Here is a 13,324-nt window from a genome sequence, read left to right as displayed (position 1 = left end):
AACTCACACTTCATATAAAATTTATTCTAAAATTAACCACAGACTTAAATGTAAACCATAGATTTACAAATCTTTTAGAATAAAACACAGGAGAAAATACATATCTACGCTATAAGGCTAGGCAAAATTTCTTTGACTCAAAAAAACAGAATATTCAACTATCTATAACCCAGTAATTGTACTCTTTGGCATTTACCCCAGAGAAATGAAGACATATTTACAAAAAATATGTACATAAATCTTTATAAAACTTTATTAATAAAATTTAAAAACTGTTAGCAGCTCAGATGTTTTTCAGCAGGGAATAGTTCAATAAACTTTGGTACACCCATACCATTGAATGCTAGGCAAAATTTCTTTGACTCAAAAAAACAGAATATTCAACTATCTATAACCCAGTAACTGGACTCTTTGGCATTTACCCCAGAGAAATGAAGACATATTGACAAAAAATATGTACATAAATCTTTATAAAACTTTATTAATAAAATTTTAAAAACTGTTAGCAGCTCAGATGTTTTTCAGTAGGGAATAGTTCAATAAACTTTGGTACACCCATACCATTGAATGCTACTCAATAATACCAAGGAACAAACTATTGATACATACAGCAGCTTGGATGAATCTCCAGGAAATTAGGCTGAGTGAAAAAAGCTGTTCCTCTATGGTTATATCATGTTTGAGTCTATTTACGTAACATTCTTGAAATGACAAAATTATAGAAATGGAACAACAAATTAGTGATTCTTGGAGAGTAGGAATAGAAGATAGGGTAGGAAGTCGTGTGGCTACAAAAGAGTTTGTCCTGGCATCCTGTGGTGATGACAGTGTTCTAAATCTTGACTTTGTCAATTTGATTATCCTGGTTGCAAGACTGTATTACAATTTCACAAGATGATGACACTGGAGGAAAACTGAGTAAAATTTGGGATCTCACAGGATTATTTCTTACAACTGAATGAATCTACAAATTATGTCAAAATTTCAAGTTTAATTTTAAAAAATCTAACAAGAAATGAACAGAGTCAAAAACACAGAAAATTTAAAATCTAAAAGGCATAAAATAAGACAAACACATTGCAAGCCACTCTGGTTTTGCACAGTAAGATACAATCATAAAATATTATTTTCCCTAACATTTAATAAATTCAATGTGATCCAAATGAAACTACAAATGAGATCTTGGGGATGATGGAACCAGACAAGCTGATTCTAAAAGAGACCAATTTAGCCATATGTGTTAAATTAAATATCCAAATACCTGTTAATCCAAAAAAATTCACTTATAAAAATTTATCCAGGGCTGGGTGCAGTGGTTCATCCCTGTAATCCCAGAACTTTCAGAGGACGTGGTGGAAGGATCACTTGAGCCCAGGAGAGAATGGCGTGAACCAGAGAGGCGGAGCTTGCAGTGAGCAGAGATGGTGCCACTGCACTCCAGCCTGGGCAGCAGAGCGAGACTCCGTCTCAAAAAAAAAAAAAAAAAAAAATAGCAACAAACTGGAAACATCTTGAATATCTGTAAAGAGCTGGCTGGTTAATAAATTATAGTATATCTGATTCTATTAATAGTTGGTGTTTGAAAACAAAAAGAAATAATAAATTACTGAAAGTCTCATACAATGAAATATTATTATGCAGCTACTCAAAGTATAAAACAGGTCTTTAGATACTGATATCAGATTACTCAAAAATATTTTTTCGTATAAAATGCAAAGTGGTACAAAATATTAAGTATAGTGTGATATTTTGTTTACAAAGAAGGATTGAGACATATATGTTTAAAAATATTATAGGAGAATACAAATTATTAACCGTAGTCACCTCAGAGCAGGCTAATTGGTGATCTCATGTAAGAATATTTTTTGCATACAAGAGTACCCTTCCATGCTGTTGAAAATTTTTAACACATGTACTAATTAGGTTTTTTAAAAAAAATTTATGCAAAACAAACTGAAGGAAAACCAACTTTGGTTCATAAATGGCAAGGATTTTCTAATGTACAATTTCATGTTGTTTACAATTGTTGAACAATGATGGGCCCTCTCACTAAGGAAACTTCATGCAATCAACCTGCATTAAGGTTGCTCTAGGGTGAAAAGAGTATCAAAAACACCAATCGCTGACCAAACCCTTTGTGTCAACACCAGGATTGAGATGTAGGGACAGCCTCAAGGTGAAGAATGAAGAATACTTCATCAGATGCACAAACAGAGCCAAAGGTGATCATGAAAATATAAGCTCCGGCCTCCCCATCCCAGAGAGTCACAGAACTCTGGATGAGGGCATTGGACTTCTACAAGGCCAATGCATGGTAGTACAAACTAATTTCACTTCAATCTCATACAGCAGCATTCCTTAGCTGACCACTAGGTTACAGCATCCTGACCTACATCTTGGCCTATGCCACTGTCATCCATAAGACAGGGTTGACCGACTAGACCCAAATTACAGAGTTTCAAAAACTTTCTATGATAATGCCCATTGACATGTTTTATTATTTTAATTACTTAATTTTATTTCTAAATTATGATTTTAAAAATCATGTTCCTTAGATACAAGATACTTAAAAGCACCTGGACCATTATCTGCAAACATATACAGCCATTTTCAAATTCAGAAAGGGACTTCCCCATGAGCTGAACCATTAATGACAAATTCTGTTCCCTCTCTCATGACAGTAGCAGTGGGGTGAGACAGATGACTCGGAGCTTTCATACATCAAGATTTTCCCCATTAGCTATTTATAGGGAGATCTTTTAAAAATGTATATGCTTAAAAGTTTAAAGTGTGCTACTCAGGATGTTACATTGACAAATGGATATGTTGTAGATTACTCAGTTCTTTCACTTCAGATTTAATTTTATTGCCAAAGGTAACAGAAAATGTATAGTGTTTCAAGTTCCTGGTTCAAACTTAAGTAAAAAGAGAAATTCTTTCTAGGTAAAAGATATTAGTGTTCAAAAATCCTTAAATAAAAAGGTTTTTTTTTTCCTTTTCCCCTGAAAAATACAACGGTATCAAAAAATATACTTGTTAAGGATGATTCAGACCTAGCAAAGGAGTGATATTTAGAGAAACAGAAAGAATATTTAAATGGGAGACATTATAAGAAAAACACCAAAAAAAAAAAAAAAACTGGTTGATATGGGGCCCATTCATTATCCTTGTTTCCTGGTCTCTTTTTCAAGTGGTCAAAAATAGTGGAAAAAAAAGATGCCACTTTTAGAAGGGGCAAAATAGTGAAGAAACTATAATAGTGGGCGCCATACTGGATCCTATCTACCCCATTATTAAGTGAAATTCATCTGATTTCTGCAGCTAGTTAAGGTGTGTAAATCAGTACACTGAGATAGAGTGGGGTTCTCTATATAATCAACTGACTCAGTTGTTAAATCATCCTGGTCGAAGGACTTGCAGCCTATACATGGCTAATAGTAAGAAAAAACATACTAGGTCTTGCAGTTGCATGAACCAGCAGCCTTGGGATCCACTCCATTTTCTGGAAGCCAAGAGCACAATGTACCACTGGGCCCTCAACCAGAAAAGCCAAAACGTCTGGCCAATGCAGCAATTTATTTTGAGTGACAGCCATCTTCTTGTTCCATGTTTACATTCCTGTACCAAAATAGATGCAGGAGACAACTGAGAATAATCCTTCAACTTTTGTGGGTCATATTGTTTAATTACTCCAAGAACAAAATGCCCTATGTGACTTACATTTGGCATGGAAATACTTTACCTAATAAGACTGGCTGTTCACCATACAGTCTTGTTTTGAAACTATGGTACTATAGTATGGAGATTTTGTTTTGTAAAAAACAAGTAGTTGTCTGAGAGTAATAGAGGAAGGTGCCAATGTCAGCTAACACTGAGTGACCTTGGGCAAGTCACCTTGTATGTCTTCATTTCCTCATCTATACAATGAAGGCCATGGACTAGAATTATTTCTAAGCTCTATACAATAGAAAATATGCATTTTAAGTAGAAGTCAAACATTTTAAAATATATTTTTTGAAAAGAGTAGTACATTGACTAAAGATTGTTGCCTTTGGAAATGTATTTTTTACATTAAATACTTCGCAAAAATAATTTTTGTAAAAAAAAAGAGAGACATCAGCCGGGCACGGTGGCTCACACCTATAAATCCCAGCACTTTGGGAGACTGAGGCAGGCAGATCACCTGAGATCGGGAGTTCGAGACCAGCCTGACCAATGTGGAGAAACCCCATCTCTACTAAAAATACAAAATTAGCTGGGTGTAGTGACACACTCCTGTAATCCCAGCTACTCAGGAGGCTGAGGCAGGAGAATCGCTTGAACCCGGGAGGCGGAGGGTGCAGTGAGCCGAGATTGCGCCATTGGACTCTAGCCTGGTCAACAAGAGTGAAACTCCATCTAAAAAAAAAAAAAAAGAGATATCTATAATTTTTTCTAAAGGATTTTGCATTATTAAAATTAGGGAAGATAGCAAGACTTTAAGTGTCTCTGAATAATGACTATCTTTAAGAATTTTTAAAAATTATCCAGTCTTCAAACAAGGTGACAATAATTTATTTCAGAAATATCTTCAGATGTTGTATCAGAAGACATAACACCGTGAAAAGTCTTTTGTCAACTATAAGGCAATACAAAGTGTAAATATCACCATGATTATTTCTTGTGTTAGAAAAGTTCACATATGCTGTCATTGAGTTCTTAGGTTGATGTATGTCTCTTCACTTTAAGTGACAATAAAATCTAGGTGCTAAATTCAAACACATTTCGAAGATGAACAATTCATATGGATATTCTTCCTCTTTACTTTTAGAAAATTTGGTAGATCTAGATATTATCTAAGATTATTCAATGGTGTTATTCAAACACAATACTGGTACTGATTTTAACTGAAGAAGCTATCCATTGTCACTCATGTAGCTCTGGATGAATGAGTTTTAATTTGACCCTCAGGAGTCAGTCTAGCCAAATAATAACAATGAAAATGCATGAGAACAGCAATTTCAACCTGGTTATTTCACAGACAAGCTTATTTTATGCATCAATAGCAAATAAATCAAGAAATTGGATGGACTTGCTGAATGTCTTTCACTGCCCTAAGTAAATCCATCTAGCTAGCTTAACAAGCAGTTCTGAAGATTGGAGTGTAAGCAGAGGAGAAATATTGATTGATTGCTTTATTTAGAGTAGAACTGTAACACCACCTATGCAAGGAATTTAGCATATATAGCCAGGCAGTACCATCTTGTTGCTATACACTTTACTGCAAGATAGATTAGACACTGGTGTGTGGAGTCTGATCCCATAACTTTAAGCCCTCTCTAATAGCAAAACATCTCCTACTAAAGGCATTAACTTTTGGGAGATGCAAGTGACTGCTGGCTGGCATATTACATTTCCATAATGCCACACCACCGGGTAACTGAGCATCTGAGGGAATGTCAAAATTCACATGTACGACTGAGCTGTTTCAATCAACCTTGTAAACATTTTAAAGAGGAAGAACATCTTACATCAAGCAACCAAGTTCCAAATTTATGCTTCATTTTGGAGGCTTGGATATTGTAATGTGCATATAACAACAAAGTACCCTCTAGAACAACCTTCTGCTTCCCTATCAGCAATTCTTCCTCTTACTGCTGTAATTTTTATTTCCCAAATAGTAATAATACTAATAAACCTGAGCCCATAATCTGAGACCTAATAGACATCTTCCTGAGACCAGGAACATAGCATTAAAAAACAAGGAAATACTTGTATTAGCAATAGAACTGCCCTGGTAGAGAACTAGTGGAAGTTGTCATTGCAGAATCAGCCATGTTTTCACAATTCCAGGTCTACGCAAAACTGCAGAAAACATTTACCATCCTCATGAATTTCTAGACTAGCCTACAAGATCATCCAGACCAGGTTTCCATACAATATTTCTCTGGGAACTCTTCATCCACTTTAAAGCCTCACTTGACCAACTTCCAGCTGGCACTCAACTCATGGGCACTTGCAATGTGACCCACCCCTGGCACCAGTGATTTCAACACACTGCTCATGCTCCAAGCACCATTCCTCACATGTACATTGTTGGTTTTTTGTTTTTGTTTTTTTGATATGGAGTCTTTCTCTGTCACTCAGGCTGGAGTGCAGTGGTGCAATCTTGGCTCACTGCAACCTCTGCCTCGCAGGTTCAAGTAATTCTCTTCCTCAGCCTCCTGAGTAGCTGGGATTACAGGTGCCCGCCACCACACCTGGCTAATTTTTATATTTTTAGTAGAGACGAGGTTTCACCATCTTGGCAAGACTGGTCTTGAACTCCTGACCTCGTGATCCACCCGCCTCAGCCTCCCAAAGTGCTGAGATTACAGGCGTGAGCCCCCACGCCCAGCCATATATACATTGTTGATGCAGACACTTCTCAGTGAATTTAAGATTTGGGAGAAGAACTTTAAATGGAGAGAATTAAAAATTTAAGCAATTGGACCAGGCATGGTGGCTCATGCCTGTAATCGCAGCACTTTGGGAGGCCACGATAGATGGATTTCTTGAGCCCAGGATTTCAAGAACAGCCTGGGTAACAAAGTGAAAGAAATTGTTTTTCTTCAAAAAAAATTTTAAATATTAGCCAGGCTTGGTGGTGCATGCCTGTAGCCCCAGCAACTAGGGAGGCTGAAGCGAGAGGATCCCTTGAGCCCAGGAGTTTGAGGCTGTAGAGAGTTATGATCCGACCATTGCACTCCAGCCTGGTTAATGAAGGAAAACCTTGCCTCAAACAAACAAACAAACAAACAAACAAAAATTAAGAAATTGGTTACCTAATGCTGAAAAAACAAATTGTCCTAAATAATACAGTAATTCTTGGTATTCAGAGAGGACCAAATTCTAATCTACAAATTCATAAACAGCACTATAGATTATAAATTATTCTATATAGTGAAGTGAATTTTAGCTGCAAAAATAAACTCAAATGGCTTTTTCAGTCCCTTTAAAGAAAACTACTTTGACTATAAGAACAAGTGAACACAAGCAAAGTAGTATTCAGGTTTAGGGTGGCCAGCTAGACTCACTCCCAAGCAAGGTTACCTGCCCTGCACAGCACTCTTACTGAGGATGGAATTCAAACTGCTCCTCTAGAAAAATGACATATTACTACAGATCTCAGGTTTTAAGAAAAATCACCTGTAAATGTGGCTGGTCAAATTTGTTTTATTACTGTGCAAAACCTTACGGGCATTTTTTACTAGAAAAAGTTGTCCATTTTCACAAATAATTTGATCTAATCAGTTGTGATGTGATTCAGAAGTAGGATCGTTGGTTATATTTGAAACAAAAATCAAGGGAAAGTATTTGTATTACAATCCAATTAAGAATAGCAGCTTGATAACTTCAAAAAATATGGGTGTAATTATTTGTAAAGTCTTAATTTACAAGTATCTGGCTCCAATGTCCTTCAGAGACCTCTCCTAGGAGACCGATGCTTGTCTACCTCTCACTCTGTAGTAACAGTGCCACTGCAAGCCCATCACTGGATGCCTTCTTTAAACACAATTTCCACACTGAAGGACTGCAGAAACAGGTAGCACGTTCTACTCCTGATTTTTACAGCTTTCACTCACTTGCAGTGATATCAAAGAATGTGAAAACTATTTTCCTGGCTATTTAGTAGCGGTCGGGTACGTCTCCTAGCTCGGTGAGACTCTGCCTTTCCTCTGTGTTCTCGTGGTTCCCTCCACCTTCATCTTGGCACGTAACCCACTGATCTTACCTGGGTGTCATGTCGCTAGACTAGCAGCTCCTCAAGAACAGGGCTTTCTGTTGTTCATCTTCACGTCCCCAACCTCAAGCAATAGTTCATGTCACACAGAAGGTCACACAGCTTGAGTTTACTATTTAAGCTGAATAATGAAGCAACCAGGCATTTGATTCAGTTAACTTTCTAACAACTTATGCTCTCCCACATTTTTTCTCATCGGAAGCCCTAGGAAGCATAACCAACCCCTTGGCAGCAGCTCATAAGATTTTTTTTATCTCATGTGACAGGAAAAAAAGCCACTATAGAAGGTTTGAGCAGGCAGCTAGCACAGCTCTACCCAGCAATGCCTAAGGGCAATCTAAATGCATCTCTGTAAGACATGGAAATGGGAACAGTTTATCACCTAGTAAAAAAACAGAAAAATGAGCACAATTACTCTGGTTTCTTACAGTACAGTATGAAAAGAAATTGAATAAATACCTATGATGCCAAAATTACTAGGCTTCATACCTGAAATGATTGAGTGAAAAGTAAGAGCCTCAGAAAAGGTTTTTCTAAAATGGGCCTGTTTAAGTAGCTTGTTTCCCCAAGCAAAACTACAAATTTTGATTTATAAAGTGTAAGTAGTTGTGGCAGCACCGCTGAAAAGGCTATTTATACTCTTCCAGGCAGGAATCTGATAAGACCAGCTGGTTATTTTTCTAGAGAGAATGCTGTATCCAACATGCTGGGCTTGCATATTTACTACTTTTCTCCCATTATTAAGGTTCTCTCCCCAAGTGAAAAGGAAAGAAAATTCAATTCTCGTAAGCTTTCCTTCTTCCCATGTCAGAGAAGAAATATTTAGAAGGTTGCACGAAGCTCATGTGCCGAGAGTTGAGCAGCAACAACGTGAGAAATCAAAGTCTCCATCTCTCCCAATGGTCATGGGGGTGTTGGGTTTAGCTCAAAGTGTCACACTCTCAGTACTTTTAACCCATGATTTCTGTCTTCTGCCACAGATAAGGACAGACTCTCTGTGTCTGTTCTAGATTTCTCTAACAGTGTTTCTGTTCCTATTTGGATTGCCAACTCTTCTCACAGAATGTCATAGGTTCATTTTCAAGGCCAAAGAGAAGCATAAGCTGCTTACAGTAAAGGGTGATATTGATAATTAAATAATTTTCCCCATTTCACACTCCCACTCTTTTTTACATATTTTGCAGTTCCTATAAAGGACCAATAAAGCATTTTTAGTTATTAAACCATATTTCATAAATAAAAAAACAAATGGTTTTAAAGTCTATTCTGAAGTTGGCAGGAACAAAACAATAAAAGTCCATTTTAGTAGCAAAATCAACTCAATGAATACATTAATGAAAATTCAGAAAATCTTTTCCTATTTTTTAAACAGCTGCAGCTAAGAAAAACATAAATTCAAGTCTATACCCTATGAAATTCAAGTCATTTAGCCTATGACAGTTCTTCATTAAAAATAATGGAGGGTTGGAGAGGAAAGTTTAGAAAAGGAAGAGGAGGTACTTTTCCACAGTGGGGACTAATTCCTAAGGTTGAACATCATTCACTCACATACAACATGGTGCTGAAAATTTATTCAGACAATTTCCACAAGGGTAGAATAAAGAAAGCATTATCAAATACTCCACCCATGAAAGATTAATGCTATAGGAACTGCCACCTGCTATACACAACTAGAAACCTAGAAAAAATATATGAAACAAATGATTGCAGACAGTGGACATAGGTGATGTATGTCAGTTATACCTGCTAGAGGGGGAAAACATGAGTTAAACTCTTCAATTGCCCCAGCTTACTGCCTGGAAGGAATTTCATTTTTTTGTTGTTGTTAAGACAGAGTCTCACTCTGTCGCTAGGCTGGAGTGCAGTGGTGCGGTCTCAGCTCACTGCAACCTCTGCCTCCCGGGTTCAAACGATTCTCCTGCCTCAGCCTCCCAAGTAGCTGGGACTTACAGGCGTGCGCCACCACACCCAACTAATTTTTGTATTTTTAGTAGAAACGGGGTTTCACCATGTTGGCCAGGATGGTCTCAATCTCTTGATCTCATGATCTGCCCCCCTCTGCCTCCCAAAATGCTGGGATTACAGGCATGAGCCACCACACCCAGCCACAGTTTTTAGGATCAAAAGCAGTGAGGCAGAAGACTAAGAGGGGCTAGAGAGTCAATGAGTTGAAGAGGTAAGGTTTAGAGTTTGAAGAAACCAGAGCGTCTAAAATTTGTGGGACAGAACAGTGAAGAGGGAGCTTCAGAGATCTGCTGAAGTTGCCACTCAAATCATTGTTTAAATACTGATCTGCACGTGCATAAAGTAAAACTCTAAAATGCTGAGGGAAAGCGTGGAAAGCAGTCAGATAAAAAACAAACTAAGAGAAGGCAAGAAAATTGGGGCAGGAGGAAGGACACAGATAAAACAAATAATAAGTAGAAAGATGGTAGATTTAAATCAAAGTATATCAGTAATTACACTTATATAAATAGTCTAAAAGTTTTGATTTTATTGAATCTGAAATAGTCAGATTTAATAAAAAATCAAAATCCAGCGATATACTGTCTCCAGAAAACCAACATTAAAAATAAATACTTTTAAGATAAGTTAAATATAGGCCAGGCACAGTGGCTCATACATGTAAAACCAGCACTTTGGGAAGCCGAGGCGAGCCGATCACTTGAGGTCAGGAGTTCGAGACCAGACTTATCAACGTGGTGAAACCCCATCTCTGCTAAAAATACAAAAATTAGCCAGGCATGGTGGCAGGCACCTGTAATCCCAGCTACTTGGGAGGCTGAGGCAGGAGAATCACTTGAACCCAGGAGGCAGAGGTTGCAGTGAGCAGAGATTGTGCCACTGCACTCCAGCCTGGTGACAGAGCAAGGCCCTGTCTCAAAAATAATAATAATAAAAATAAAAACAAGTTAAATATAAAAGAATGGAAAAAATATGGACTACATATAACATGAAAAATAATCAAAAGAAAGCTGTAGTGGCTGTATTAACACCAGAAATAAATAGACTGCAGAATAAGGAATATTAGTGGGAATTGCAAAGAAAGAACAGAAGAAAATTTTTGTGACCATGGGCTAGGCAAATATTTCCTAGGACACCAAAAGCACCAACTAAGGGAAAAAATGATAAATTAGACTTCATAATATTTTTTAAATTGCTCTTCAGAAAATACTGTTAAAAGAATAAAAAGATAAGCAGCCACAGACTTGGGAGAAATATTTTCAAAACATATAACTGTTACAGGATTTGTGACAAGAATATCTGAAGAGCTCGTAATTTGATAATAAGACAACTCAATAAAAACTGGGCAAAAATATGTGAACACTACTTAAAAGAAAATATACAAATGGCATATAGGCACATAATAGGTGCTCAGTATCATTAGTCATTAAGGAAATACAAATACTACTACATGTCCACTAAATTGGCTAAAATTAAAAAGACTAACTCTACCAAGTGTTGGTGAGGACAGGGATTAACTAAAGTTTCATATGTTGTTGCAATGTACAAGTAAAATTAAAATTGATGCAGGCACTTTGGGAAACAGCTTGCCAGCTGCTTCTTAGGCTAAAAGGACACCTATCACAGTACCCAGAAATTCCACTCCTCCATATTTACACAAGAAAAAATGAGAATATATGTCATGTAAAGACTGAAAGTTCATAGTCATTTTTTTTAATTATTATTATACTTTAAGTTTTAGGGTACATGTGCACAATGTGCAGGTTAGTTACATATGTATACATGTGCCATGCTGGTGTGCTGCACCCATTAACTCGTCGTTTACCATTAGGTATATCTCCTAAAGCTATCCCTCCCCCCTCCCCCAACCCCACAACAGTCCCCAGAGGGTGATGTTCCCCTTCCTGTGTCCATGTGTTCTCATTGTTCAATTCCCACCTATGAGTGAGAATATGCGGTGTTTGGTTTTTTGTTCTTGCGATAGTTTACTGAGAATGATGATTTCCAATTTCATCCATGTCCCTACAAAGGACATGAACTCTTCATTGTTTATGGCTGCATAGTATACAGAATAGCTCAAAATGGAAACAAGCCAAATGTGCCTAGAGTGGTAAATGAATTAAACAAATAGTATATCTATAAAAGGGGATACTACTTAGTCATAAAAAGAAATACAGTGCTGATAGAGCCAACAGCATAGATGATTCTCAAATGAATTACTCAAGTGAAAGAAGTCAGACACAGAGAATTACATGCACTGTGATAAAAATAACACTATAGTAACAAAAAGATCAGTAGTTGCCAGAGGCTGGGGGGCAAAGAGAAGAACTGAATGCAAAAAAGCACAGGGATGCTTTTAGAGATGATAAAAATGTTTTATATTTTGATTGTGGTGACACTTACACAACTTTATACATTTTTCAAAGCTAATTGAATTATACAATTCAATTTAAATTGATTTATTATATAATTAATTATACTCAATGAAACTGATTTTTTTAAAGATTGGAAGAAAATATAATAAAAAAGAAACTGTCATCATTTATTAGAACATCTTTTCCTCTAAATGAGACTAAAAAAAAGAAAGAACATCTGTATTAAAAGAAATTGCCCTTGTTTCTTATTACTGTGTGTCCTGTTGTGCATTTTGTATCTTATCAGGCAGGGAAAAAAATCAAACTATTTAAGGCTGAGGTTAACTATGTGGAAAGACCTACAAATGGTATAAAATTAATTTACATTAAAATAAGAGTAGTTTTTGGTAACTAATTGATCACTTTTAAGGTGTATTTTATAAGTGCAAAGATTACACATGGATGCTTATCCTTATTGTGAATTATTAAAAAGTTTGACATAGCTGCACATTTCCTCATCAATATGAAAAATTAAGCTTCAGGAACTGACCTTATAAATAGATCGGAGGAAGCAGAAGGACAGTGAGAATAAGTTAATGACATTTCCAGATAATCAAGCCCTATAAAAATGTAGAATTTGAATGTGAAATGTGCAGAATAAATCAAATCCAAAGTATATTCCAAGACTTTAAATAGCCCATGCTAAATAAGAAAAGAATAACCTAGTAAATCTAAATCTTGGTCACATTTATGTAGTACCACCTTTAGTACTAGATACACACACACACACACACACACACACACACACAGAGAGAGAGTTCATTATCAAATTAATTAAGACAATAGTGAATTAAACAAAATAAAACCAATTTCCTCATGTCAAGACTTCTCAGAATCTTTAATATGCTAAATTGCATTGTGATTCTTAGTGGAGAAAAGGCTGTTATAAAGCATGTCCTCAAATTACTAGAATATGAATTCTTTTCTCAAGGATTAGCTATAGGAAATTGTACTTGAATATCAAACTTTGGGAAAGCTAGCTTAGAGCAGTGTTCCTTTTCCCAGAGAAGCCCTTTCTTAAATATGTAAGCACAGTTCTTTAAACCATGTCTCAATCTTTTAATTGCTATGTTGTTTCATTTGTTCTGCTTAGTAAATGTTAGAAATAAATATTTTGTTGCTTGTTTAGTAATAGTCTCTTGGAAAGTGTTTATTTGTATATGTGTATGTATATGCAATTTTT

Source organism: Homo sapiens, chromosome 6 (assembly GCF_000001405.40).
Source record: "Homo sapiens chromosome 6, GRCh38.p14 Primary Assembly".
Classification (NCBI taxonomy): domain Eukaryota; kingdom Metazoa; phylum Chordata; class Mammalia; order Primates; family Hominidae; genus Homo; species Homo sapiens.
This window is presented reverse-complemented; position numbering follows the sequence as displayed.